General features: G+C 45.3%; 1 protein-coding gene and 1 pseudogene across 8 annotated transcripts in view, besides 2 other annotated features; one reads left to right on the forward strand and one right to left on the reverse strand.

Moving 5' to 3' along the window:
* The window catches only part of MSRA (methionine sulfoxide reductase A), a 374,600-nt gene that overhangs the window by 282,136 nt on the left and 64,711 nt on the right, over positions 1–27,753 (forward strand). For 2 of the 8 annotated variants that reach the window (XM_011543823.3, XM_017013451.3), the window contains exon 6: positions 17,189–18,384. The exons of the other annotated variants lie outside the window; for them this stretch is intronic. In XM_011543823.3, the coding sequence (XP_011542125.1) occupies positions 17,189–17,251 (63 nt within the window). In that variant the 3' untranslated portion in view covers positions 17,252–18,384. Of the gene's footprint in view, positions 1–17,188; positions 18,385–27,753 lie in introns of those variants that run through there. 8 annotated transcript variants of the gene reach the window in all.
* Positions 196–1,052: an enhancer, noted in NCBI's record as "OCT4-NANOG-H3K4me1 hESC enhancer chr8:10194133-10194989 (GRCh37/hg19 assembly coordinates)". NCBI's record gives its function as "activates a minimal SCP1, AML or CMV promoter by ChIP-STARR-seq in primed H9 embryonic stem cells {active_cell/tissue: H9 hESC(primed)}" and the evidence as "EXISTENCE:reporter gene assay evidence [ECO:0000049][PMID:30033119]".
* On the reverse strand, positions 356–1,229 carry LOC100420053 (transmembrane protein 126A pseudogene; annotated as a pseudogene).
* Positions 20,093–20,296: a silencer, noted in NCBI's record as "fragment chr8:10214030-10214233 (GRCh37/hg19 assembly coordinates)". NCBI's record gives its function as "represses an EF-1alpha promoter that drives an FKBP-Casp9 reporter gene in an ReSE screen in K562 erythroleukemia cells {active_cell/tissue: K562}" and the evidence as "EXISTENCE:reporter gene assay evidence [ECO:0000049][PMID:32094911]".

Raw genomic sequence — 27,753 nt, forward strand, 5'->3', positions numbered from 1 at the left:
AATTTTAATCCTTTTTTTTTTTTCATTTTCATTTCTGTTTGGCTTCTTTACAAAGTCGTCATTGAAAATTGCTGTATGGTTATTTTTCCCTCTTGTGTTACAGACCAAACTCAGTGTCTGATGTACAGTGGAATAAGTGAGGAAAGAGACAATATTGGGCAAACCAGTGAAATTAGGCTCTTGTTTACATGAGTAGCCCTTACTGAGATTCAGCTTTTTGTTGCTCTGTGTAGCCTTTTGATGTAGATTCCAGAGTTGTAACTTACATGATAAATTACAAGTCTGTATTTATTCATACATTAGAGATAGGTTATTTTTACCTTTGTGTGTGTGTATACACATTTGCTTGGAATCGGTGAATTTCTAGGCCACATTGAGGCAATTGAACGCTCTTTATAAGCAGTTAATTGTCTAGACCCAACGTTTGCTGCAAACACAGTCTGGGGCAAAATGGGAATTAACATTTTTACAAAGACAGGCATAGAAATTCTAATCCAGCGAATTGTTTCCTTTCTCTGGTAGCAGGGCTGAGTCCTACCTGGCCACAAGGCTGCCATTCACCTGTGTAGCCCAGAAAACAATGGTAAAGACCACCAGAGATAAGACCAGCTAATCCATGCCTTGTAATAGTCAGGTTTCGCAATTCACATCACCTGTCTGCAAAGGTAAACTCACAAACCCCTCCTGAGATATGTGTACAGTCAAATGGGATCACTGCTGTCGCTAGGCCAGCAGCTCTAGAAGCCTATGTTACTTTTTTTTTTTTTTCTGAGACGGAGTCTCACTCTGTCACCCAGGCTGGAGTGCAGTGGTGCGATCTCGGCTCACTGCAAGCTCCACCTCGTGGGTTCACGCCATTCTCCTGCCTCAGCCTCCCGAGTAGCTGGGACTACAGGCGCCCGCCACCACGCCTGGCTAATTTTTTTTATTTTTAGTAGAGACGGCATTTCACTGTGTTAGCCAGGATGATCTGGATCTCCTGACCTCGTGATCCACCAGCCTCGGCCTCCCAAAGTGCTGGGATTACAGGCGTGAGCCACCACGCCCGGCCAAGCCTATGTCGCTTTTAAGATGAATCCAAAAAGACTGTGTGCTACTAGGCTACAGAAAGCAGCATTAAGTCTGATATACATCAATCCATGTTCAAGCAGATTCCTCTCTGTCTCTGGAAGTTGGTTAATTTTTCTGGTCCTGATATTGGATATTGTCACATTTTCCTTGATAGTGTCATCCGGTGAATGATTTTTCATCTTGAACCTTATACTCCTCCTCTCTCGGCAGCTGGTGCTTCCCTGTTCTTCCTCAGCCATGCTGGGGCTCACTGCAGCCTCCTCTGCTCAACTCGCCTGGGTGCAGCCATCTTCAAGAAAACATTATTAAAGCAATATTATTAGTATGCAGCAAGGTGCCTTCTTTCTGCTAAATCAGTTTGTAAAGTGGTCCTCACAAATGCACACATTCTTTGTTATGACAGCAGGGCTTCGTGTTTCTGATGCAAGACTAATAAGACTTGGAAGTAGGGAGGTAAACTGGGTGGCCCAGGAAAGCAGGGGTTAGGGGAGTTGATAGAAGATATGAGAAATGAACCTAAGGGGTGATCAAAGAGCAGCCAAAGAAAAAAATATCCTTAAGTGGGAGAAAAAGGCAAATAGGACGTGTGAGGAATTAGGCAGGAGTAGGAAAGAAAACTGTGAACCACTGTATGCACACTTGTGTGAAAGAGGAACCTAGGAAAGTGAGCCCCGAGAAAGCAATACTAGCAGAAAGCAAAAGGTGCTCAAGAATCATTGTGTTGTTTATGTTGAGTGAAATAAGGCAGGCACAGAAAGAAAAATACCGCATGATCTCACTTATATGTGGAATCTGAAGAAGTTGAAATCCTAAAGCAGGGAATAGAAAGGCCAGAGGCCAGGGTGGAGTGGGGAAGGGAGGAGGAGTTGTTGGTCAAAGGGTGCAGAGTTTCAGATCCACAGGAGGAATAGGGTTTGAGATCTGTTGCACAGCAGGGTGACTGTAGTCAATAATGTAGTGTATATTTCAGAATAACTAAGAGCACATTTAACACGTCTCACCATAAAAAAACAATAGGTAAGTGAAGGGTTGGCTTTGCTAACTGGCTTCATTTGATTATTCTACATTGTATGCATATATTAAAACATCATGCACTCCATAAAGATATACAGTTAGGATTTGTCAATCAAAAATAATAATAAAAAATTTAAAGAAGAATTGTATAGAAAGAAAAACCTTTCAGGATTGAGAAAACTCTGTGAAGAAGTCACATAGAAATTCTCCAAGAAGTGCCACCTGTGTACTGAAAGCCCCTTTAATGGACTTTTGTGGTGCTTTGGTGATTCATACAACTTCAGACAAATAATTTCCTAACCTGCAAAACTGAGCTAGCAACCCTTGCCCTGATCACTCTCTTTGGGGGTGTTTTTGAGGCTCTAGGGAGCTGATGTGCGGGCAAAGGTTATAATCCAGAAAATGCTCTACAAATTTAAGTAAGGTTTTGGCAGAATTGGGTTGTGGGGAGCAAGTGCCAGGCCAGTTTCCAGTCCTTGCCAAACTGCATTTTCTAAGTGATGAAAGATCTGGCATTTTATTCTTTTCCATTTTTTAATTCACTGGGTTTGTTCCCTTGTTCTTATGAACCTTGACTGCAGAGATAAGTTGACAGTGGCTGACAGATGAAAATTTTCATTGATCTCCTCTCTGGTCCCTGCCTTTCCTAGCCCCTTGGCTTTGGAATGAAAACTGTAAGTCAGGGACACCCACGAAGCGATGATGTTGGAGTTGCAGTTTGTAAAACTCTTACGTTACCATCTCTTTATCTGAGCATGGAGACAGGCCCTTTCTGTAACTTTTCTGGCTAAATAACTTTTCTTCAGAAGGCAACTCATGTTTGAAATTAGACTTGACCTTGTTTCATGAGTTTCCAAAACTTATGATTCAGGTCCACATTGGCTGCTTTTGAATTGGATCTATTTAGATGTCAACATGTACAGCACAAGTACAATGAATTCAGTGTCTGTCCTGTTCTTCGTGGTCAGGATTTTTGTGTTTGTTTTATTCCCTGTTAAGCAAGGGGTTTTCTTTCTTTCTTTTTTTTTTTTTTTTTTTTTTTTTTCTGAGACGGAATCTCGTTCTGTCGCCCAGGCTGGAGTGCAGTGATGCGATCTTGGCTCACTGCAAGCTCCGCCTCCCAGGTTCACGCCATTCTCCTGCCTCAGCCTCCCGACTAGGTGGGGCTACAGGTGCCTGCCACCACGCCCGGCTAATTTTTTGTATTTTTAGTAGAGATGGGGTTTCACCGTGTTAGCCAGGCTGGTCTCAATCTCCTGACCTCGTGATCCCCCCGCCTCGGCCTCCCAAAGTGCTGGGATTACAGGCGTGAGCCACCACGCCCGGCAGCAAGGGGTTTTCAATACAGGCTGTCTGATGACTAACGAGAGGGAACATAAGGACCCTATGGTCTGCCCTTCTAGGCTGTTCTCAGGCCCTACCCCACCCAGGCCTCTGCTCTCCCTCTTCTTAAAATCTTCATGGATCCCCAAGGCAGCTGCCCTAGCTGCCTTGTGTGTGTCTACAATGATAGAGCTATCAGCACTGCCATTTCCTGGCCCGTGTGGTATGAGAATATGAGTAGCCAATAATGCTGTCACAGCCTGGGAAAGAGACGGCAAAGGAGAAGAGGCAGCCGCTTGAGACCACGGAGCCACAGCCGCCCATTCCCAGCAGAGCTCGGAGACCACAGTGACACACCTGCCCATTCCCAGCAGAGCTTGGTGCCATTCTCAGGTCTCCCAAGCTGACCCCAGGTGTCCGTGCTTTTATGGGTTAATACCACCAGGGTATTGAACTAGATTTTGACAATCAAAAAAAAAATGTATATCCGAATTCCACGTATGGTGGCAAGTCTATGAGCCATCAAATTAGGAGTTATTATCTATCTATCTATCTGAGACAAAGTTTTCCTCTGTCACCCAGGCTGGAGTGCAGTGGCGTGATCTTGGCTCACTGCAACCTTCGCCTCCCGGCTTCAAGTGATTCTCGTCCTTCAGCCTCCAGAATAGCTGGGATTTTAGGCATGTGCCACCACGCCCAGCTAGTTTTTGTATTTTTGGTAGAGACAGGGCCTCGCCATGTTGGCCAGGCTTGTTTTGAGTTCCTGGCCTCAAGTGATCCGCCTGCCTCAGCCTCCCAAAGTGCTGGGATTCCAGGCATGAGCCACTGTGTCCCGCCAGATTGGAAGTTATTATACCCACTTTATAAAGTGGCGAGGATGGCATGTTTTGATTCAATTCAAAAGGTATTTACCAAGTACCTCCGTATTCAAGGGAGGGGATGTGGAAGCAACCTATATACAAACTTAAAACCTGCAAAGGCATCAGCAAAGAGCATCTCACATCAGCTTCTCTGTTCACTTGGTCCCTACTTGTCTTCACAGAAAGAACAGTTCTTGTGTGGTAATCAAAATGGTATTTCTTTGAGAAAAAAGATGCCCCTGATAAGAAAGACAACAAATACGTTGATGTGGAAACAGCCTCCAACATGAAGTAAGATTTCCAACTGATCAGATCCTTAATTTAGATGCCAAGTGAGAGGTTGACTATTTGTAGGGCTCTGTGGATTCCAGACTCCCACTCAGACCTACTGAATTAGGGTCCTTAGGGGTGGGGCCAGGAAATATGAAATGTTTAAAACTCCTGTATTAGGCAGTTCTCGCGTTGCCATAAATACCTGAGACTGAGTAATTTATAAAGAAAAGAGATTTAATTGGCTCATGATTCTGCAGGCTTTACAGGAAGCCTGCTGGCATCTGCTCGGCTCCTAGGGAGGCCTCAGGAAGTTTCTGATCATGGAGGAAGGTGAAGGGGGAACAGGCACATCACATGGTGAAAGCAGGAGCAAGGGAGAGAGAGTTGGGGGGAGGTGCCACACGTTTTGAAAGACCAGATCTCCTGTGCACTTAGAGTGAAAGCCGACTTATCACCAAAGAATGGTCCAAGCCATTCATGAAGCATCTGCCTTCATGATCCAAACACCTTCCACTAGGCCCCACCTCCAGGACTGGAGATGACATTTCAACATGAGATTTGGGCAGGGACATATATTTAAACCATATCAACTCTCTAAGTGATTTTCATACAGCGCTGGGCTTGGACATCTCAAGGTAGTGGATTAGTACTTAGTCTTGGGCATCAGACAAACTTAGGTACCTGTTTGAGCCTGGATAGGTAACTTAACCTCTCAGCCTGTTTCCTAATCTATAAAATGTAGCTAATCATATGAACCTCGGAGGTTGATGGTGTGACGTAAGTGAGATGACATGTGCCAAGCTCCCGACTCGCAATGTTCTGTCTGCAGCTGTATCCGCAATGGGCATGAATGGGCAGATGATTTGCCCAAGGCGTGTGAACATTAAACAGTCAGCTGTTGATGAGGAAGGCATGGCTCGGGACAGTGCCAGCTAAGATACATCTAGAACCCCATTTTCCATCAGTGCATTTCCTCCTGTGACATAAGCTGTGCCTCTTGTGTGCTAGGCTCCCAGCCCAAGGTTAGGGGCTTTGGGGAAGCTTAACTGTGAGGTCCTCATCTAGGAGCGTCTTTCCACTGCCGTCTAAGCTGTGTGTGTCAGCTGGGTTCAAAGAGTTAAAAATATCTGGTTAGTAATCAGCTGTGCAAAAGCAACACTTTTCATTCTTAAGTTCTGTTCTTCAGTGTGTTGAGATTTTTCCGCTCATTTGTTTCCATGGGTCTCACAAGCATGGCCTTGAGCAGCAGTTCTCAGACTTTTTGACCTCGGGACCTCTTTGCACCCAAAAATTATTGAGGACCCCAATGAGCTTTTGTTTGATATTTACCAGATTAAAAATTAAAACTGAGAAATTAAAAAAACCCGAACACACATTCATTCCATCAGCCATCGAGTGTTGATGTCATCACACTCCGTGTAGCTTCCAGAAAACTTCACCTGCACCCATGAGAGAATAAGAGTGAACAGGGAAATATATCTTAGCATGATGATAAGAATAATTTTGACCTTGTGGATCCTGGAAAAGATTCTGGAGTTCCCCGGGGGCCTCTGAGCCGCACGGAACTGCTGATCTTGATTGCACAGGTTACCCAACCCTGTTCGTCTGCCTCACAGAGAAGCACAGAAGTCAAATCTGAGGCCGTTGTATCACTGAGCAGCACAGCTGGGGCAGGGTCTTAGGGAAGGCCTCCGAGTCCAGCGCAGTTCCCTGGCCTTACAGACGAGGAACCTGAGCCCCAAAGAGGTAAAGCAATGCTCCCAAGCTCACACAGCGTGGGTGCCAAGCTCAGTTAATAACCCAGAGCTTCTGCCCAGTGGGCTTGCCCCTGCATCCCAGTTGAGTGACTTAGGGACCAGGCTCCGGTGAAAGACAGCTTGGTTCCAATCCCAGCTCTGCCACTGTGTGACTTCGGGCAAGTGTCTTAACTTCTCTGGCCTGAGCGTTCTCATACATAAAATGTGAATAATAAAAAATAGCTGCTTCATAGGCTTGCTGGGAAAATTAAATGAGATAACGTGTGGAAAGGAACTGGCATCTTGCATAAGCATTACACACACACACACACACACACACACACACACAGACACACACACACACACACACATTTTAGCTTCCCAGCTAATTCTTAGAGGGATACATTTGTAATATTTTAGCAGTCACTACTTCTAGAAATCATGACCAGCTTTTCTCCATCTCTTGGTCTCAATTGTTCCTTTTCCCAGCAACCTTCAGGCTTGCTCAGCAGCATCGCAGGGGAAAGGGATTCCAGAATCCATGGTGAGAACACCGTCTCTATCTGCCTTCACAACAGACTGAAGGCAGAGCTAAGATCGGATGTAATTAGTTTACATGTCAGACCCAACAATCCATGCTGTACGTCATGCAGGAGTGATCAGTGTTTTCAGGGTGGAATGCAATCTCATAATGAAGCGGTGAATAGTAGTATTGCAGTTGAATAACCTGCAGCATGATGTATGGTGATTAGAATTTGTTTCTGGCATATGGTTTTCTTTTTCTTGTTTTTCCCCCAAAGTGGAATGTCTGCTTCTGTAGCACCGTCCATTTGCAAACTGCGTTCCCCAACCACTCTTTAATTGTCTCCTACATCAGTTCATGGGAGAGCTTAGTGAGGGTAGGTAACCCAGTGCTCCTTATTCAACAAATGTAAATGTAGCGCTTTACATTTGTAAAGGGTGCTGGGGGGTCCCTGGTGACCTGCACACACAAGTCAATAGATTTCTGCTGAAAAAATTTTAATATTAAAACATCATACATAAATTTGAAGACTTCATATGCAAACAGCAACAAAACCAAAAAATAACAAAGGACAGAGATTTTAAAATAATCTCTTATAAATAACTAGTTTTATCTACCCAAACAAAGAAAATAATCAGCACTCCGTATGCTACCTCAGATCCTGTTCAGACATATGTGGGTATCAATAATGAATGAATCAATTGATTCATCCTCAGTCTTGCTGAGTGTCTTTCTGGGAGATACCACTTGTGGCTCTTGTTTACCCAAAGATCACTTTGAAGATAGAACATTCTGTAGTCCCAGATAGCATCTTCTTGCCTGGAACTGACATAAGATCCATATCTCTAAGCCACAGGACTGGAGCTTCTCCCTCTTGCTAAGGAAGTTGCATGTATCACCCAAAAGATACTGGCTTTGAGGTGAGAAGACCTGGATTCTCATATCGTCCTTTGTACTAACAGCAGTGTGATCGAGGCAAGTGCCTTGACTCTCTGGTCTTCCTTCACCCCATCTGTACGGTGATCTCTCAGCAGCTGTTCACCTCTAATGGTGGACTATAGAGTGGTGGCTGAATCCCTCCACCATCAGGCAATCAAAGCCAGCCATTTCCACCGAGGCAGGTGGATCACAAGGTCAGGAGTTGAAGACCAGCCTGGCCAAGATGGTGAAACCCCGTCTCTACTAAAAATACAAAAATTAGACAGGCGTGGTGGTGGGCTCCTGAAGTCCCAGCTACTGGGGAGGCTGAGGCAGGAGAATCGCTTGAACCTGGGAGGCGGAGATTGCATCAATCCGAGATTGCGCCACTGACACTCCAGCCTGGGTGACAGAGGGAGACTCCGTCTCAAAAAAAAAAAAAAAAAAAAAAAAAAAAAGCCAGCCATTTCCAATGGCCTTGACATAAGGATTATGTTGCATTAAGTAAGGATCATTAAGGATCTGAATGAGCTAACTACCATGAGTTTGAATGAATCTAGAGCTTGATCTCAGGTTTGCATGTCAGGGATAGCTTCGTTCACCAACACATTCTCCATTACTGTGTGAGGTGGTGTACAAGACCTCAGGTTCACTCTTGGGCCTGGGAATGACTACAGTGGACATATTTATTCTTCCTTAGTGTGTCAGGTGTCTATCACAGCATAACAAACTACCCCAATCATGGTGGTTTAAGACAAAAATAATTGTTCTTGTGATTCTGTGGGTTGGCTGCATTGTTCTGTCGATTTTGCCTGGACTCATTCATGGGACAGCATTCGGTTTGGCGGGTCACCTGGAGGCAGGGCTCAGTTGGGAAGATGGGGCTGTCTGGATCTCTCTCTCTTTCCATGGTCTTTCCCCCTCAAGGTTAGCCTGGCCTGGGTTGGCTCTAGAGATGGTGACGCCATGCTGAACCCCAATTCCAAGAGCTTATCAAGCCTCTGCTTCCTATGCTGATGTTCCTTGGCTAAAACAAGTCATATGTTCAAGCCCAAAGTTAATGTGAGGATGGGGACTGCCCCTCTTAGTGTAGATACCAGGAGGTGTGATTTGTCGAGGCTGTTAGTGTAATGGTCTTCCCACCTTAGCCTCAGTTTCCATGTCGGTTAGATGGGAATAGGTTACTAAGCATGTAAGGAGGGCCAGCCTGAGTTTGAGGTATTTTCCATGTCACATCCATTTCTAACTGAGTGTGTGATCATAGGATTCACATTCCTCATGAATGAAGAAGTCTTGTACCAAGCGATCCAAGGGTCCACCATTATCACCACCTGACTTCAGCACACACATACACAGACACACACTTCTGTTTCATCTTCCACACAATGTAAAAATCAAATATGATTGGAAGAATCTTCAAAGTGGTAGAGGACTATACCAATGGGATATATTATTACAAATAATAATTATGAAGAATTCTAATGTATTTTCCAAAAACTTATGAGATGCTAAACATCTCTGTTACATATTGCACATTTAAAAATAATTACATTATGAGAAGTGCGTTATTCGGGTTTCTGTTTCTTTTCTGGTGTTTTAAGCTCACTCTAAAAAGGCCTGGCAAATCAAGATGTGTTTGCATGAAACTAAAGGCACTAGGAGGAGACTAAAAGGTCAAATCTACCTTTTAGGAGCAGCCTGCATTCCAAATGGAGGCATTTCAGCTTACTCAAGTCTTTATTTAGTCTAACCACTTGGCAACCTACTTTATTTAGTTTAATCTCCTGGCAACCTACTCTAACCACTTGGAAACCTACAGCCTACCTACAGAATCATAGTTCAGCCATCCATTCCTACCTTCCTAGTGTTTTTGTTTATTTGCTTGGCTCATTGTATTGTGTTTATGTGTACATGTTTGTGAGGGCAGCTCAACTGTGACCTCTTGTGCAGTGTTCCAAATTTACAAAGTTCCCTAAGGATACCAGGCCATCCCTGGCCCTCTTTTCTCTTATATATGGGCAAAGGCTGAGTGACTTGGGGTCCTGACCTCAGTAAATGCAGTCTTATCCTCACCCATTGCTTTGCTTATTCACTGAACCTAGTCCTGAAAATATGGGAGTATAGATTCAGAATCAGCTCTCACCTCTGTGTGGATGACTTTGCGCTCAGCATGCATTTCATAGCCCTGCTCATGGCTTATAAGGTCCTCTCTAACATGGCTGCTGGTTCCCCACTCTCCTAAGTGTAAACACCCTCCCCCACTCTAGGGACTGTGCATCCCATCCTGCATCCACTGCACCCTAGCCTTCATAACTCACATGCTGATATGGAAATAAACGAAGACCACCAAATGGAAACAAGCAAAGCCTCTTGAATCAGAGCTTGCTACATCCAGAGGGCCAGCCACTAGCCCTTGCGTTCGGCAGAGACTGAAAGGCAAGCGGAAGAGAGAAAGCTCCAGAGTGGAAAAGAGGGAAAGCTTCAAGTATGTCCTGATTGGAGGCTGTTGGCCTGGGGAAGTTGCAGACAGGCTAACAAGATGCGGGGAATCTTGTGTAATAGATTAGGGGTACCTATTTAGCTTTCTTGGGTTAGTCCTAGAATTTCAAGCCAGGACAAAAGTTAGGGAAACTGTCAGGGAAATTAATCAAGTCCTTGCCATTTGGGGCTGATTGCTAAAGGGGTTGTTGTTTGGCTTCCTGAACTGGTGACTCTAAACAGTAGGTTGGCTCCCTGGGCTGGTTGCTGCAGGTTGTGGGTGAAGGTTCTGTTTTTATATAGTCAGACTAGTGTCCATTTGTATCTTCAGCCTCTCACCATTCCCCCAACTGAAGGTGCTGCTGTTACTTGTTCCCTGTCCTCACAGACCCTCTTTCCACACCCCATCATTCTGGCTGAAGCCCCCTCCAATGTGTTTTCACAGCACCTGCACTTTGATCACAACACATGTCCCCTTTATTTTAGTCATTACTGGTTCGTTTTCCCTTTTGGTCCAAACACTCCTTGAGGGCAGGGGTTCTGTCTTGTTCATCACTGTATCTTCCCTAGTCCCTTGCACCGTGTCTGGCTCCAGTCAGCTTATAGTAAATACCGATTAAACAAATGATTGATGAATACCAAATACAGCCTGATAAATCTCCCTCTTTCCACTCCCTGGTCTGCATTTCTCCCTGCCTTACGGATATCTGCAACTGGATATTCCACTTGCATCTCAAAATTATCATGTCTAAAACCAAACATTTGATCTTTCTCCCAAGCCATTCCTTCTTGTGATGTCCTGATTTGTAAAGTCCCACCATGCTCACAAACACTCTGCCTTGCCCCCTGCAGCTATCAGTGGGTCCCCATCATCTTCATCTCTTGCATTTCTGTCCCATTTCTTTTTATTCCCACCTCAGCCTTTGTTCTGGTTTGGACTCTGACCTCAGCCTGCCGCCTGGTCACTGGGTTCCAGTCTCAGTCACCCTCTCGAATCCATCCTCCACGCCATCCCAAAGTTCCACTTTGCTTATGCTTCTGTCTTATGGGAAACCCTTCTGTGGCCTCGCATGTCTCAGCCTAGCCTTCAGAGCTCTCAACCGTATGAAATAATCCCGTCCATAGTGTTCATTACTCCTTGCCACACACTTGACTTTTCAATCCCGTTACCCTAGTTGTTTCTAGGACATGGCAGTTCCTCCCCTCCTTTCTGCTGCCTTTACCACCTCCGCAGCTTAAACAATGACTGAACATTCCCTTGTCTCCAGTGGCAGTTATAGATACTACGCTGTGCTGTAGTGATCGATGCAGATGTCTTCTTTCCCTTACTGAACTAAGCTCATTGAAACATCCACCCTAGCTGGTCTTTGCCATTTATAGAGTAGGCACATGGTAAATATCTGTTGAGTAAATGAATGATGCAGCTGGTCATTGCATCTAGAATAACCCTCACGTTAAGGTGGGTTCATCCTTAGATGGATTTGGGATTGATGAATTCAAACGTGCAGTTAAGAGTTTGCTTGTAAATCCTGAGACCATATAGACAGAGTAGCAGCATAATTGTGTGTCTGAACCATCAGTGTTTACTCAGCCCTTCCTTTTGTAGTTCTAGTAAATTGCTTTGTATTTGAATCCGTGCTAGGGCCTTCTCCGCGGAGATTTTTTTTTCTTGAGGCCTACACCAGCAGCATGGCCAAATGCCTATTTCCCAACTTATATCCAGAAATTATTGCCTTTTTTTTTTTTTTTTTTTTTTTTTGGACAGAGTCTTGCTCTTGCTCTGTCGCCCAGGCTGGAGTGCAGTGGCGTGATCTCGGCTCACTGCAACCTCTGCCTCCTGTGTTCAAGCAGTTCTCCTGCCTCAGCCTTCCAAGTAGCCGGGACTACAAGCGTGCGCCACCATGCCCGGCTAATTTTTGTATTTTTAGTAGAGACGGGGTTTCACCGTGTTGGCCAGGATGGTCTTGATCTCTTGACCTCGTGATCCGCCTGCCTCGGCCTCCCAAAGTGCTGGGATTACAGGTGTGAGCCACCATGCCTGGCCCTGGCTTTTCTTTAGTAGAAGTTCAGTTCATACTACCAAGGCATCTAAAATATTTATCTCCTTACTCATTAAAACTCGGCAGTTACACGTCATACTGGAAAGAGGGATAGGTTGGCAGAATTGGGGATCAACAGGTATCTGGGATCTGCAGGGTCTTGGCAGGAGAAGGCTTGGGGGGGACAAGGCACATGAGTGTGCATAACGATCTCATAGACCAGCATGGTGGGAAAGAGGGAAACAGCCTCCCTGTTGCTCACGAGATCTAAAAAAGCCTGCCAGCTTGGTATTTTGGTCCCTGGATTTATGTATCTGATGAAGATAAAACATTCAGAGCATGCCAGCCCCGTGTAGAACACCAGCCTAAGAGAATGGAATAAAAAGAATGCCGACAAAATTTGAATAATCATATGCGATACATCTATTCATTCTAAAACATGATTAGATAATGCAAATTATACATGATAATCATAAATTAAAACAATTACAAATAAGACAGAATACATTTATTGTTTAAATTGTTGAAGTTTATATTTAGAAATTGCTCTGGGTAGCATCAACATTGACTCTGCTGGAGGATTCACCTTTGCTGTCATAGATGCAAACCAACCATTTCAAACAGTTTTAATGGCAATCTGTGCTTCCAATGCAGTGAACTGGGTTTCTGCTCCGCCGTGCTCTTCCCCATTCTCTGTGGTTTTATCATCCTCGGCCTGCACACGTACCGTTGCCTTTGCCTAGAATATCTTTTCCTTTTTTGTTTATTCTTCAGGGTTTAATGAAAACCCTGACTCTTCTGTGAGGCCACCCCACTTCCCTTTGGTATTGCTTTTCTCCTCTGCTTCCGCATGGCATCTTGCACATTTGCTAACGTGCACTCATGACCTTGAACGTCCCTTGAGCACAGGTCTCTGTTCCCCTCTGGGAGCCTCCCCTGGCTCATGCCTCAATGATGAGGAAGACCCTGTCTGAGTTGCTTTTGTGGCCTTCGTCCCCTCTGTGCCTAGTACGGGGCCTGGCGCTCCTCGATTGGAAAGCAAGAAATATTTATTTAATGAAATGTCACTAACACAAGCTGAGGCTCTTTTAGGTCTAAGAAAACGGCCATCTCCCCGTTGCTGTTTTGGCCCCTCTAGTCCTGTGTCCTTGATGTCTGTGAACGGCCACTCCTGAGTTCTGTCTGTGAGGCTCACTGCTGCTAGCATGTTGGAGCCCAAGGGCATTGAGGGGCCTTCCCCTGTCACCCCCTTTTGTTACAGACACACATTCCAGAGAGGTGAACCCTCGCTGAAGGTTACAGTTTGCCTTCCAGCTACCGCTGAAGCTTGTGGCTTGGTTAAACAGGCCTCCCTGAGTAGAAATGATGGACTCTTCTGAGTTGAGAGACCTCGGATTGTACTTGAAACTTTCCATTCTCCAGCTGGGCCATTTGGGGCACTTCCTGTTCTTGTGTGAAATCATTAGCCACAATCTGGAGACCTACGAGTGGAATTTGGTCTGCAGTCTTCGTTTCTTTCTTTAAAGTTTGAATTCTGATGCTTCTCACAAAGACACCTGCTTTGCAGATAGCTCTGGTCCCCACCGTCCATCCCCGCAGTTACTGCATCTTTGAGAAACTTTCTGTTTTATACTCACAGCGCTTCACAGCTTGCACTAGCCATGTTCCAAGTCTTCGGCCGCTGCATGCAGCCAGCAGTTAGAGTGCGGGACTGGACAGCGCCGGCCGGATGCTTCTGCCTTCGCTCATTGACGGTTCTTGCTGGCTTCCGAAGGCATTTAGATCTGACACTGTGGATGAAAAGGCCCTATAAAGCCCTTCCTACTCTGACATCCAGTGAATCTACTATTAAGATGGATTTTAGAGTTAAGTGAGTCCAGGACGACCATCGATGTCTCACCGAATTGGAACTCACTGGTCAGCAGCCGTAATGTTTGAATTGGAACCAGAAAATAGCTCTCAAATTTGCAGAGTCAGCTTTGCCGGGCTTCAGGCTGAGTGGGCTCATAGCTGGTTGGCCCTGTATCTCTGGCCTGGGCACCGTGGCTCCTTGCCAAGGCCGGCAACCCTTGATGGTGGCAGCACGGAGCAGACCGAGCCCCCAGCCGACTTACCCCCGAGGCCTCGCGCCTCCCCCTTCACAGCATTGCGCCTTCCCTCTTCCAGTTCCCAGGGTCGCTTCAGGCTGTCCCAGCCCTCTGCCTAGTCAGCTGTCAGGGAGGGGAAGTGGCAAGTCCAAGGCCGCCAGAGGGCTTCCTACTGCCTGCCCTGCCTGTGGCATTTCTTAAGGTGACAAAGAGTGTGTTTTTAAACCACCCTCCAGAACTCTTACTCCCCATGAATTCTCTGCAGCTGCTCCCCCAGAATTGACTGGAAAGAGAACCTCGTTTAAGCTGCCTATGCAGCAGAATGCTGTGAGTCAGACGACGTCCTGCCAAGTGCAACCTGAGATGCTTCAGTGGAAGCTTGTTCCTCGGTGGTGACACCTTGTCTCCACGCTCATCCATTCGAGTGAAAATTCATCTCTTTCCCTCCCAAAAACATCATGTAATGAATGATGGTTGTTTTTGCTCTGAAGGAGACTTTTTTTTTTTTTTTTTTTTTTTTTTTTAGACGGAGTCTCGCTCTGTTGCCGGGCTGGAATGCAGTGGCGTGATCTTGGCTCACTGCAACCTCTGCCTCTTGGGTTCAAGCGATTCTCCTGCTCCAGCCTCCCAGGCATCTGGGACCACAGGCATGCGCCACCACGCCTAGCTAATTTTTGTATTTTTGGTAGAGATGGGGTTTCACCATGTTGACCAGGATGGTCTCGGTCTCTTGACCTCATGATCCACCCGCTTCAGCCTCCCAAAGTGCTGGGATTATAGGCGTGAGCCACTGTGCCCGGCCGAAAGTGACTTATATTTGCATAGATTATCTCTGTAAAAAGTGAAAGGTTTCTGTGAACGTCTGGTACTTATAAAATATCTTTGTAGGGCAGGATGGGAGATGATTAAACTACTTCCTCATTTAGACAGTGCCACCTGTAAGAAGACTTGTGGTGTGGATTCAAAGATGGTTATCCACAGTGAGATGAATAGAAGGCAGTACTTCTCAAACTTTCATGTTCACCGAAGTCACCTGGGGATCTTGGTAAAATGCAGATTCGGATACAGCAGGTCTGGATGAACCCAGACTGCTTTTCCTAATAAACTCCCAGAAGAGGCGCAGGTTTTAAGGCTATGAGGTGCTTCTCTGGACCCTGGCTGTCCGACGGCCACATTTAATGAGAAGAGAACCCAGCTGTGTGGTTGTTGACTGCGATGAGGATCGCACTGACTTAGAAAGTTATGACTTTAATGTTCCTTAGTCGAATCACTAAGATTTCTATATAAAACAGCAGAAAATATGGGAGTTTGGAGAAGAGAGAAATGAGCTGGATGAAATAGCTTCCTAGCTCCTGATTGATCATTGGGCATCAGCTATTTTGTGTGCTGGTGCCGATGAGCAGGGGAACACGTCGTGAACAGAGTTGTGTCATAGCTGGACGAGAAGGAGATGTTGTAGGGTTCAGTTCGTGTAGTGAATTTTTCCTGAATCCTTAAATTCTCATATATAAAAACATATAGATATGAAGACATTACAATAATATAGAAAAGACTGTGTATGTATGTGTGTATGTGTACCCTATGAGAAATGTTTTTGCTGGTATGCGAAGGGGAAAATCTAGTGTTTGGAAAGAGTTCTCCACTGTGCTTTGGGACTACAAGTTCAGCTTGGGGCAGGGCAGCAGAGTTGAAGAGGAGGCAGGGAGGGCAGAATGAAGCCATCGTCCCTGTGCAGCATATCGGGTGTTACTTTTATGTTGGTGAAAGAATGATCCGAGGAGCCAGCTTATCAGTGTGGAGAAGATTGCAGCTGCAATTTGCTGGTTAGTCTCTGTTCTTTTAACGCTTTCCTGAAGTGCCATTTTGTCTCGGTAAAATGCTCCCTGAAAATACTCAAATATTTTTAGTTGTAGAGTACAAATCAGATTGAGCTGCACATTTCCCTGGTGAGCAAAAGTGATGAGTTTGTGTTCATTAACTCGAGGCCATCTGGTGCAGACACGCTGCCGTCTGTGAATCAAACGTGCATCAAACTCCAGGGATCAGAACGCGTGCCAGAGCCAGTGTTTTGGAGAGTCAACAACAACCGGGGGAGAAAGAGGCCCTGGCTATATTTTTCTTTTAAAAAATCGGCTCTGTCTTGCAACATATCAGAGCATCCCGTGCTGCCCAGCTGATGAGCCCACTTGCAATCTCTCCATTGCCCATCTGAACTGTCTTTGCGGTGTGCTCTGAACTGTTTTTGAGGTGTGTCTCTGTGGTTGAAGTCATCTTGCCTGATACCATCTTCGTTTGGGTAGGGGGAGAGGTGGAGAGAGCATTCCAGTCCCTTTCTCTGCATTTTTCTGTAACCACAGGCCTGAGCCACAGACAGGCGTGTGCACACACACACATTCTCACTGTGAGACAAAGAATTGTGAGGCAAAGCAATGCTCAAGGTAGTTGACATGTTGCAGAACATTCTTGGGAGAACTGCCTTCTGCAAATAACCAATTTCTTGAGGAGACAGTGCTTCTTGCAGTCTTGCCAATAAAAAGCCACTCAGCAGCAGCTAGCTTTCTGTTTAGCGCACTCACCAAAATATATATACATGAAAGAAATTGCTACGCTGATCTGGTACTGAAGACCACCAGGGCCGTCCGTGGCGTGTACGGAGGAGGGACCTGGGAGGGTCTGGGAGTCTCCTTGGAGGTTCCTCCCACTTCGGCATCCGTGAGTCCTGTATTTGGTACCGGAGGCCCGGAGGCCCGTGTATCTGTGTTAGCAGTTGGTCCCCTGCAGAGCACGACACCTGACGTTTCTGTAACGAGATGCAATTTTCTGGGTAGCCTCTGTACCGTCTTTCTAGCTATGCCTTTTCCTTTAGGTACCCAAGCATGTTCACTGGAAGAAGAGAACACAGACTGGGCTGCAGACGGAGGGAAGATGAGTATAGGGACTCTCCTTGTCTGTCCCTGTACCTGCCCACTGCCACCTGTCTACGTCCTGAGATACCCAGCAGAGGACAGGGTTCCACTTGGAAAATTCTTTTGAATCTCACACAAGACAGTAATAAACATAGAGGGAGAAATAACAAGACATTTTACCATGTCTTGTGTCATGTAGGAAACTTTACATTTCAGAAAATATGAAGACAAAAAGATGAAGGAAAGGGCTTTAAGGATACAAAGGACCTTATTATGGAAGGAAAGCAGTGTTGTCAAGAGAGCTAAAATGAACTTTTCTTTTTCCAGTGGGTTAACTTTTAAAAGTGCATGTTATTTAGTGCCCTGCATTGCAGTGTATCTTATTATAACCTTACCAGCCCCAGCTCCTTCACTGTTTTCAGTGTTTGCTAATATGGTAATCATGAAATAGCACTTTATTTTTGAATCTTTGGTTAGCATTAGAGTTTAAGTTTATCATTTGCTTTTTGTTTGTAAGCCCTGAATGAAGGTTTACTTGCACTTAGGAAAGCCCACTGTCCAGTATGTAGACAAGTTAGCTCACTGAAGGTCTTACTAAGCCATTAGTTGAATTACAATGCATCTGCTACAGCCTGGATCTCTAAATTGATGGAATCCACATTGTTGGCAAGATTCAAGGGTAGCACACACCCTGAACACACAAATGCGAGGACACAACAGCAAGAATGAGTAAGCGAGAGAATCAGGTGAGTTTCTAAGGAGCTTTCTGGAGGAACAGAACTTTGTTTTACTTTTTGATTATGCAATTTATGTTTATAGTGGAAAACAGGTAAGACAATAATAGTACCTTTGCTAATCATATTTTAAAACATTTTGGTATGTATGCTTCTATTCCTTTCTCTATGGGAATAAATACCTTAAACAATAGAATCAGTATATTCGTGAAATATCGGTCAGTAAAATCAGATTAGAATGATTACAAATGCATCGGTGAAGGTATTATCAGTGAAAATATTTGTAACCTGCATTTTCGCTGCATATTCATTTCATGAATATCTTTTCATACCAGTTATGTAATATGTGTGTGTGTGTGTGTATATATATATATATATATATATATATACCAGTTATATAATAAAATGTTATTTTATTGTTATCACTATGTAGTCTCATTGAATGGATATACCATAGCTTATTTAACGGCTTTAGTGTTGTTTGACATTTGGGTTGCTTCCAACATTTCCTGCTCATAAATGCTGCCGTGATGAGCATACTTACAGCTGAATCTTTTCTTGCATCCATGGTTAGTTCCCTAGAATAAGTTCCCAGAAGAGGAATGGCTACATATATGCATGTGCAAACTTTATGGCTTTTGATTTGTGTCAGTAGCATAATGTATTTTCTTCACTGGCATTTAGCATACTTTTAACCTGTGGTAGCCCATAACTCTTTACTGTGTCAGGGCCGGGTTCCGTGCACCTCCTTTATCAGCCTACAACACTACGATGCCCCCAGCCTTTCCAGTGCCGCCTCTTCCTGCCCAGCCCAGTTCCTGGCCCAGAGGCCATGGCAGTTTGCATGGAAGTGCTGAGTATTGTTTCATGTTTGCAAAGAGAGGACAGCTGTGGATGAATGGAGAGGAAATAGGAGAAAGTCATTGTCAGAGACTCGGGATTTTTGATGGAAGCTTTATCGCCGATAGATATGACATTTGCCGAGTAGGCCATCACTTCTTTGATTGTCACTTTCCAAACCAAAGCAAATGAAGTCATCAAAAAGAACGATGTGTCGGAGGGCATTTCAAAATTCTGGAGATTTCTGAGACACGTGTAAGGAACAGAAAACCTGGCTTGGGTGGCATGCTGTGTCAAAGGAAAAGAACTGCAGTGAGGTTGGAGGAGTGGGCTCACCTGATGGATGCATTTCTTCAGTACATACATGGCAGGGGAAGGCCTGTCCCTCTGTGGGGTCAGGCAGTCAGGGTGGCTCTTTTAAAGTGGTAGCTTCTGAATGTCCTGGCTGCTGGGATCCTAGTAGCTTTCCTGGGTGCCCTTGGAAAGCAGAGGATTGGTGGTGGTCCTGGGTGAGGGTCTGCAGATGCAGGTGGTGGCCAGGGGTCTAGCCAGGAAGATATGCCATATCAGGGAGGCCCAGCCCTCAGGGGACTGAGGTTTAGAGTGGAGACTTGGAGATTCCTTGGAGGTCTAGAGATAAGGAGTGACTTTGTTCCATAGGCACCGGGCTCCTGGAGTCTGAGCCATAGGAAACTGGTATTCAGTACTAGAGCTAGGATTGAGGAAGGGGTCTGTTCACAAGGAATTCAGTAGCAGCCCAGGTCCTACGTGGTACCACAGTCAGAGTGGAACCAGCAGCCCAGACTGCTGTGCCATCGACCTGAAGGCCCTTCATGTATCTGGGGAGCTGGGACTAAGTGGTCTGTGCTGTGAGGGTTGGGCAGCCACAGCACCAGGGGTCTGGACATTCACTGCTGGTAACGGTAGTTGGCAGCCTTCTTTCTTGTCTTTTCTCTAGATCAAGCTTAGAACATTCTATGTTGTTTTCCGTATGGTTACTCAGTGGCACAGATCTTACAGGAAAGGCAGACCTTGAAAAAAGTTTGTTTTCTTCTTTTTGTTGTAAAAAAAGACAGATACAGAAAGCAATATTAAGCAAATGTGTGGCTTTGTGATTTTATGTAAGCCAAACAACCTTGTTACTGCATAACTTTGCTAGTCCCCCTAAGAGCCTCTCCTCCATCTGCCCCACCCCAGTTACAGCTTTACAGCTCCTCACCCTTCCCAATTCTTGTAACAGCCACTTCCATGCATTTCTTTACGGATTTGTCACCCAGGTGTGTGCTGTGGACTGAATGCTATGTCCCACTCAAATTCCTTTGTTGAAATTTTCACCCACAAGGTGATGGGATTAGTAGGTGATGATGATGACCTTTGAAAGGTGATTTGGTTGTGAGAGTGGAGCCCTGATAAATAGGATGAGTGCCGTTGTAAAGAGACCCTTGGCCCATTCTGCTGTGTGAGGACACTGTAAGAAAGGAGGCAGTCCCTCACCAGACATAGAATCTACCTTGATTCTGGACTTCCTAGCCTCCAGAACTGTGAGAAATAAATTCGTGTTGTTCATAAGCCACCCAGTCCATGGTATGTTGTTACGGCAGCCCGAACAGATCAACACAGCGTGCACGTTCCTTGCTGCTGTTTTTGAGCCTTGCCCATTAAAAAAAAAAAAAAAAAAAAATATATGTGTCTTTGAAGTCTCCTTTAAAACACGCAGCTTGCCCTCTCTTCCTTCTTTTTTCCTGTGGGTTTTTAATCTGCAGATCCCCATAAGCTGGCATGCTTCAGCAGTTCCTCTGTCTTTTGTATTTCCTGAACATTGGCAGCTGCATCCAGAGGTGTGGACCAGACCCAAGTCTATCTCTTTAACAAAGTAGTGATGCTTTTCATCGGCAAACCTACACCATGTGGTTTTTGCTCCTTTTCACGTTAACAGCCAATGATGCTTAAGGCACAAATCCATTGCTTTACTGAGAGTTGCAAAATCGTATTATTTCAACTCTATGAATTTGTTTTCATTTATTAATTGGGATAATTTTCTAAGAAGGAGCTTCCATGTCATTTTCCATTTGGGTACTCAGTGGCACAGGTCTTACAGGAAAGTCAGAATAAATGCTTAATGCTTTCTCTCGACCCACTTTTCAGACATTGACTTGGTTTCCTGTCTTCCTTAAGACTGAACCAATTAGGTCGTTTTCAATAATATTATGAACTCATGGATTTACACACATTTGATGGGTTTCAGTCCATTGCAATTACTATCTTTATTGAAACTCTTATTTTCCTATCTTTGACCAGCCGGAGCTCCTTCACATTGGCTCTGGGGTCCTTTTACCATGACTTCAGGAGCTTTCCTATCTTCTTTACCATCTGGTATAGGCTCACGTTGTCTATTTCCTGCCCCAGACCTGGATTCCACCATTTCTCCAAGAAATCTGCTTTCTTTTAATCAGAAAAAAGTATTTCAAGACCAGCTGGGGCAGCATGGATGCTTATTGCTATTGGTTTGGTCATTATTTCTAGTTTTTTCAGTGGACACACCATACAATGTGTAGTGCGTATGTTGGGGAGGGAGGGGTGTTATCAAATACTGTGAGTTCAAACTGATATTTCAGACTCAAATTCAGAACTGTATAGTTTTCACTCAACTACTTTTATATTGCATTTGTATCTCCTTTCTTCCAAACCAAGAATCTTGGTACTTTTTTTTGAAATGGAGTTTTACTCTTGTTGTCCAGGCTAGAGTGCAGTGGTGCTATCTTGGCTCACTGCAACCTCTGCTTCCTGGGTCCAAGCAATTCTCTTGCCTCAGTCTCCTGAGTAGCTGGGATTACAGGTGTGCACCACCATGCCCAGCTAATTTTTGTATTATTATCATTAGTGGAGACGGGGTTTCACCATGTTGGCCAGGCTGGTCTCAAATTCCTGCCCCCGGGTGATCTGTCCACCTTGGCCTCCCAAAGTGCTGGGATTGCAGGTGTGAGCCACCATGCCTGGCGATGTGAGCCACCACTCCTGGCAAATCTTGGTTCTTAAAGATACAGAATTAGAATATCCCGTAATTATTACAATAGTCCCAATAACAATAATAAGAGCGCTATACCATCAGTGATGATTACTGAAAACAGTTAAACATTTTTTAATCCCTCTATTCTCTTGTTTCCCCCCAATTTTTGTGGCTATGTCATATTTGCATTATCAGATCATATAACCTAGGGGTCCCCAACCCCCGGTTCTGGCCTATGGCCTGTTAGGAACCTGGTTGCACAGAAGGAGGTGAGCTGGCATTACCACCTCAGCTCCGCCTCCTGTCAGATCAGCGGCAGCATTAGATTCTTTTTTTTTTTTTTTTTTTTTTTTTTTTTTTTTTTTTTTTTTTTTGAGACGGAGTCTCGCTCTGTCGCCCAGGCTGGAGTGCAGTGGCGGGATCTCGGCTCACTGCAAGCTCCGCCTCCCGGGTTCACGCCATTCTCCTGCCTCAGCCTCCCAAGTAGCTGGGACTACAGGCGCCCGCCACTACGCCCGGCTAATTTTTTGTATTTTTAGTAGAGACGGGGTTTCACCGTTTTAGCCGGGATGGTCTCGATCTCCTGACCTCGTGATCCGCCCGCCTCGGCCTCCCAAAGTGCTGGGATTACAGGCGTGAGCCACCAGCATTAGATTCTTATAGGAGCAGGAACCCTATTGTGAACTGCACGTGTGAGGGATCTAGGTTGTACACTCCTTATGAGAATATAACTGACGCCTGATGATCTGAAGTGAAACAGTTTGATCCCAAAAACATTCCCTTATCCCCCCATCCCGATCCCCACCCCAGGTCTATGGAAAAATTGTCCATGGATTGATAGTGTGAAGCATGTGATGTGCTTTTTCAACGTGTAGTTTTGATTTCTTTTAATTTCAGGGAAGTTGTCTTCAGTTATGTACTTTAACAGTGTTCTGTCCCCTTGACTTGCTTTTCTTTATCAGGAGCAGACTCCTCTTCTCCATTGATTGGATCTTCTTTGCCCATCCTCAGTATTTGTCTCTTTCTCTGAGTTCCTTCTTACCTTTTTTCTTTTCTTCTTGATTTTAAAAAAAGATACCTTTTGCACCTCCCATTTCCTTTACACAGCTTTTGTTTTATATACTGGTTTTTATGTTCCTTCTAGTTTAGTTTTCATCTCTGACATTATGTTTTAATATTATTTCAGGTCTTATATCACTTTTTAAAGGCCTTTAGTTCATTTTAAAGTAATATGCTGCATATTTTATAGTTTTTTGGTCCATCTTTTTGGCATGCATTCATTATCTGTAGGGATTTTCCTCTCCTTCTCCACCTCCTCCTCTTCCTCCTTCTCCTCCTCTTCGTTTTCTTTCTAATCCTTCTTCAGCTTTGTATGAAATTTGACCAGAGTATTTACTGCCACAGAGAGGCTCCTTCTTTTCACTCCTTCCACTGCTGCCACCAAGCTTTTGTCCCCCAAGAGGAGGATGGTCTCAGATGGAGGATGGTCTCAGATGGAGGACGATCTCAGATGGAGGATGGTCTCAGATGGAGGACGGTCTCAGACAGAGGCCCTTTTGCAAAGTTTGCCTTTTCTCGTGAACAGTGGTCTTGAGTTTGAGGGAGGAGGAGTAGGTCATGTGGACTTTCTAACCTTACAGCACTGTTCCATCTTCTGTTGCATCCCACAGTGTTAAAACTGTGCAGCTGGCCCTCTGAGATGTCCTGTTTCTGTTCCCCTCCTCCACTTTTACCTGGCCAACCTCCTTCCTTTATCTCTGTTATTTCTATCTGCTCAATTTTGATTCCACTCCCAGCAGTGAGGCCCTGGACATGTTCATTGAGAGTCCCTGGGGACAGTGCAGCTCCAGCCTCTTCACCCAGGCCTCGTAACACAGGCCCTTGCGTGTGCTGCTGCTGCTGGAGTGAGCCAAGCTGCTTGAGTGAGCCAAGCTGCTCTCAGTGTTAGCCACTGTTGTCAAAATGGCTGTCTGTGTCTTCCAGGGAATGCTTGTTGGATATTTTGGTGTTTTGTGCCCAGGTCCACCAGATGCCCTATTGCTTCCCTCTGTTTTCTCTAGCAGAGATGCCCCCTTCCTCAAAAAAGAACAAAAAACAAACAAAAAACATGCCTTGTGGTTGTTGGTGGTTTCATTCATGGACTTGTAATTTGGAGTTCTTGGGGATACCTTGTCACCTAGTTTTGTTGTAAATGTTGTCTGTGAGTTGTTGCTTATGCATTTAGTGCATCTGTGTGATTTTTCTGGGAGACATTGGAAGGATCTCATTGTAGCTGCCATCATCCCAGAGCCCCCCAGCAAGATTTTAAGCTGATGGGAGACAGGGCCCCTTGCCGAACGTCTGACGGCACTTCACATATTGTTCTGTGTGCAACATGGATTCGATAAATGTTTGTAGCATACACGAAACTGTCTAACTCTGGGTTTGAACTCCAGCCCCAAAGCAGGCACAATTCTGGGCTTTTGGTATTACATCCTTTTTGCAGTTTATTTGGAAGATATTCATTTGGGCGACAGGGATGTACTGTCTGGGTCAGATCTGGGAGGAGTCCACCCTCTAGTGGGGGAGAGTGGCTCTCTGCTGCCTGTGTATGGAGATAATGAGTTTCAAATGTGGAACTGGCTTTGGAGTTCATGCCTGCCACTCCAAAAAGGCAAGACCAGAGTGGAACATACTTGGGCAAGCCTGTGACTCCCAGTACCTTTATCTCTTAAAGGGATTTATACAGCAGTCACTTGTCTGCTTCTTTGCCTAGGTCCCTAATTAAAGCAGTTTTCAACCCGATAAACAGCCTCACCTTGGCTGATAGAGTTGGACAACTCCTTGGTGGCCCGTTTCCATGCCCTCTCAGGCTCTGCAGCTCCAGGGTTAAGTTCCTGCCTTCAGCAGGGCCACCCACTGAAACATTTAATGAGGAGAGGAGTATTGTTTCTTGGAGACATAATTACCAGAGACACTTAATGCCACCTTTCCCAAGATAACAGGCCTTTTGAAATGCAGTGTGTTGGGGAAGATTTAGCCAAGCTCAGTGACTGCCTTAGCAGTTATGAGTCATATTAATAATGCCTACATCTGCCTCCACCAAAAGGCTCTAGGGTCTGTCTCCGAAGTTTATTAAACTCTTCCTTGGGAGACTTGTGCTTGGGACTTAGGGTTCTAAGTCTTTTCTTTCATTATTTTTGGCTGTAACTCACTTTTACGTGGTTGTGGCCCTGGGCAAAATTTTGAAATAGGTAACTTCCCTTTGCATTCTCCCAGTACTATAAGACTCATACGTCCTGGGTTTTAGGGGTGCAAGCCAGTCCTTGCATTTTACCAGGATTCTTGAAGGCTGCAAACTCGGGATGTAAACACAAGCCATTACTGGGAGAGCATACTTGAGACATTGGAGGCCTCTTAAGATGCTTGCCTTCTCAGGAGCTCCTGTCTCCCAAAAACACAACACAACAAAGCAAAACACAGAAAGCACTTCTAATGAAAGACTTTTATTTAAATGTAAGGAGGCACCTACTTAAAGTAACTCTTAAGAAAATCACTTAATAAATATATATGACTTTTGTAATGTAAAAAATGTCTTCCTAACTTATTTGTTTTAAAATTTCAACTTTTTGACATCGTACTGTCATCCTTTAAAGTTTTGTGGGTTTTCTTAGTTTTGAACTTTTTCTTCCTTACCGTTGTCTTCCCCCTCATTTCCTGGAAAGGGAAATCGTTTCCTTCTCATGATCTGCGAGGCTTCCTTCCCTCCTCTCTCTTGTCGTTGTTTCATTTTGTTTTCGTCTTTTGGCCCCAAGGAAGCAGACGAAGAATCCTGGAGTGAGAGAGACCCGGGTTCCCATTCCAACTTTGCCCTCACTTGCTGTGAGACTTTGGCAAGTTCGTTGGCTTGTCTGAGCCTCAGTTTTCCTCCTTGTAAAATGGATATAAAAATCTCTGCACCACTGAGTTGCAGCAGTATTAATGTCATACTTTATACAGCATGCCTAGTGCCTGCCCCAGTGCAGATGCTCAGGAAATATCGTCCTTACTTAGGAGCACTCCTGTCAATGAAAACAGGACCTCTTGCCAAAGAGAAATATTTTGTGATTAGTGCTTGCTCCTGTCCCTGCCCCCATGAGCAAGTGTCCTCCCTTTCTCCTCCTGCATTGTTGAGGACACGTTTCTTGATACAAATTTAACTACAGCCACTAAATCAGAAATTCCCACCCAAAGTCATACCATAAGCAAAAAAAAAAAAAAAAAAAAAGTGGGCTTGTATATTTAAGGCTGTGGGTGGTGGAACTGGGCATGGGAGGGGAGGCCACTGAGACATCTCTTTGCTCCATCCCCTTTCTGAGTTTCCTAGGCCTCCACTGTTTTCTCTCCAAGCAGTCCCCCTAGAGTCCAGGGTCCACAGGGAGACCCGTTGTCCCTGCTCCCCCACCAATTTCTCCCAAGAGAAAGGAGGTCTCAGATGAGGACCCTTTTGCAAATTGTTGCTCTGGAGGCTGAAAAATCAAGCTCGAGCTGCCTGCTGGTCCTGATTTCCTTCCTGGCCGTTAGTCCCTGCCTTTTTCCTCTTTGTCGGTTTTCAAACGCAACTGCCCGCGCCACCGGGAGCTGCCCCTGACTTCCTCCTTCCCTCCTGGCCCCAGCTCTCCTGCTCTTGTTCCTGCCCCTGCCTCCCTCCCTAATACACTCAACTGCTTAAATGTCATTTGTGAAACAACAGAAGGACGTGCTGTTTTTGCAGCATCTTGGGGAACAATTTTTTTGATTCATTTGGTGTTAAGAACACTCATAAGAAATGTATTCAGTGACCCTCGCCAGCCTCAGTCACTGGTGTGGTTCCCATTTGGTGGTTGGTGAGCAAAACATTTTCCCCCCAGAAATGTCCACTCTTCTAGCACTTTCAGCCTTTCTCCGTAGGTTCCTTTGTCTTCAGGTCCTTGGGTACTTGAAGCCCTGCAGTTGCTAGTTCATTTTCCAGCTGGGAGAGCGATCCTGATCCAGCTCCTTCTCAGGCCTTTGAACCAAGTTCTTTGGCAACTGGCCAGGGAGGGAATATGGCCATGTCAGGCGTGCTTTTCCGGCCCATGAGATAAAAGGAATGGCTGGAAACACTATTCCTTCCGTGACTCACAGGGCCAACCTGGCATGTGCAAGGAACCCGTCAGACTGGGTGGGGACCTCCCGTCCAAATTTACCTGCGCAGACACAGCACCTCTTGGAGGAGCTAGGAAGTGGGAGTTCCCTTAGCACGTGATCCATATCTTCCCTCCAGGCCCTACCGTGCCTGTCTTGTAGCATGACGATGTATATTCTCACCTTAGTAGTCCCCTTAGCCTGTAAAGCTCTTTAGGGCAGGATCTACATCTGCGTAACCTTCAGGGCCCCCAGTGCTGAGAACTGTGCCTCACAGGTCCTAAATGTTTACTGAAAGGAAGAACACACAGGGGTGGGTGGATCACTTGAACCCAGGAGTTTGAGACCAACCTGGGCAACCAAGCAAGATGCAGTCACCACACACACACACACACACACACACACACACACACACACACTAGCTGGTTGTTGTGGTGCGCACCCACCTGTAGTCCCAGCTACTCAGGAGGCTGAGGTGGGAGGATGACTTGAGTCTGGGAGGTTGAGGCTGCAGTGAGCTTGATGGCACCACTGCAGTCCAGCCTGGGCTACAAAGTAAGACCCTGTAACAACAAAACAACAAAACAAAAAACAAAAGAAGAACACATGTATTTACCTAACTGAGGGTGGGAGTAGGGGTCAGAGAGAACTGTTTCCTTTCTCTAGACCTTACCCTGTTCTCTGCCAGAGAAAACGGTCCACACACACTTAAACGATTATTTAAAAACCTAGAGACCCTTTGCTCATTACTCAAGGTCCAGATGAGCAATTATGCTATGAATTAGAATTGGAATTAGCTGCTTGTTCTGGCCAGAACACC

The sequence above is a fragment of the Homo sapiens genome, chromosome 8 (genome assembly GCF_000001405.40).
Source record: "Homo sapiens chromosome 8, GRCh38.p14 Primary Assembly".
Classification (NCBI taxonomy): domain Eukaryota; kingdom Metazoa; phylum Chordata; class Mammalia; order Primates; family Hominidae; genus Homo; species Homo sapiens.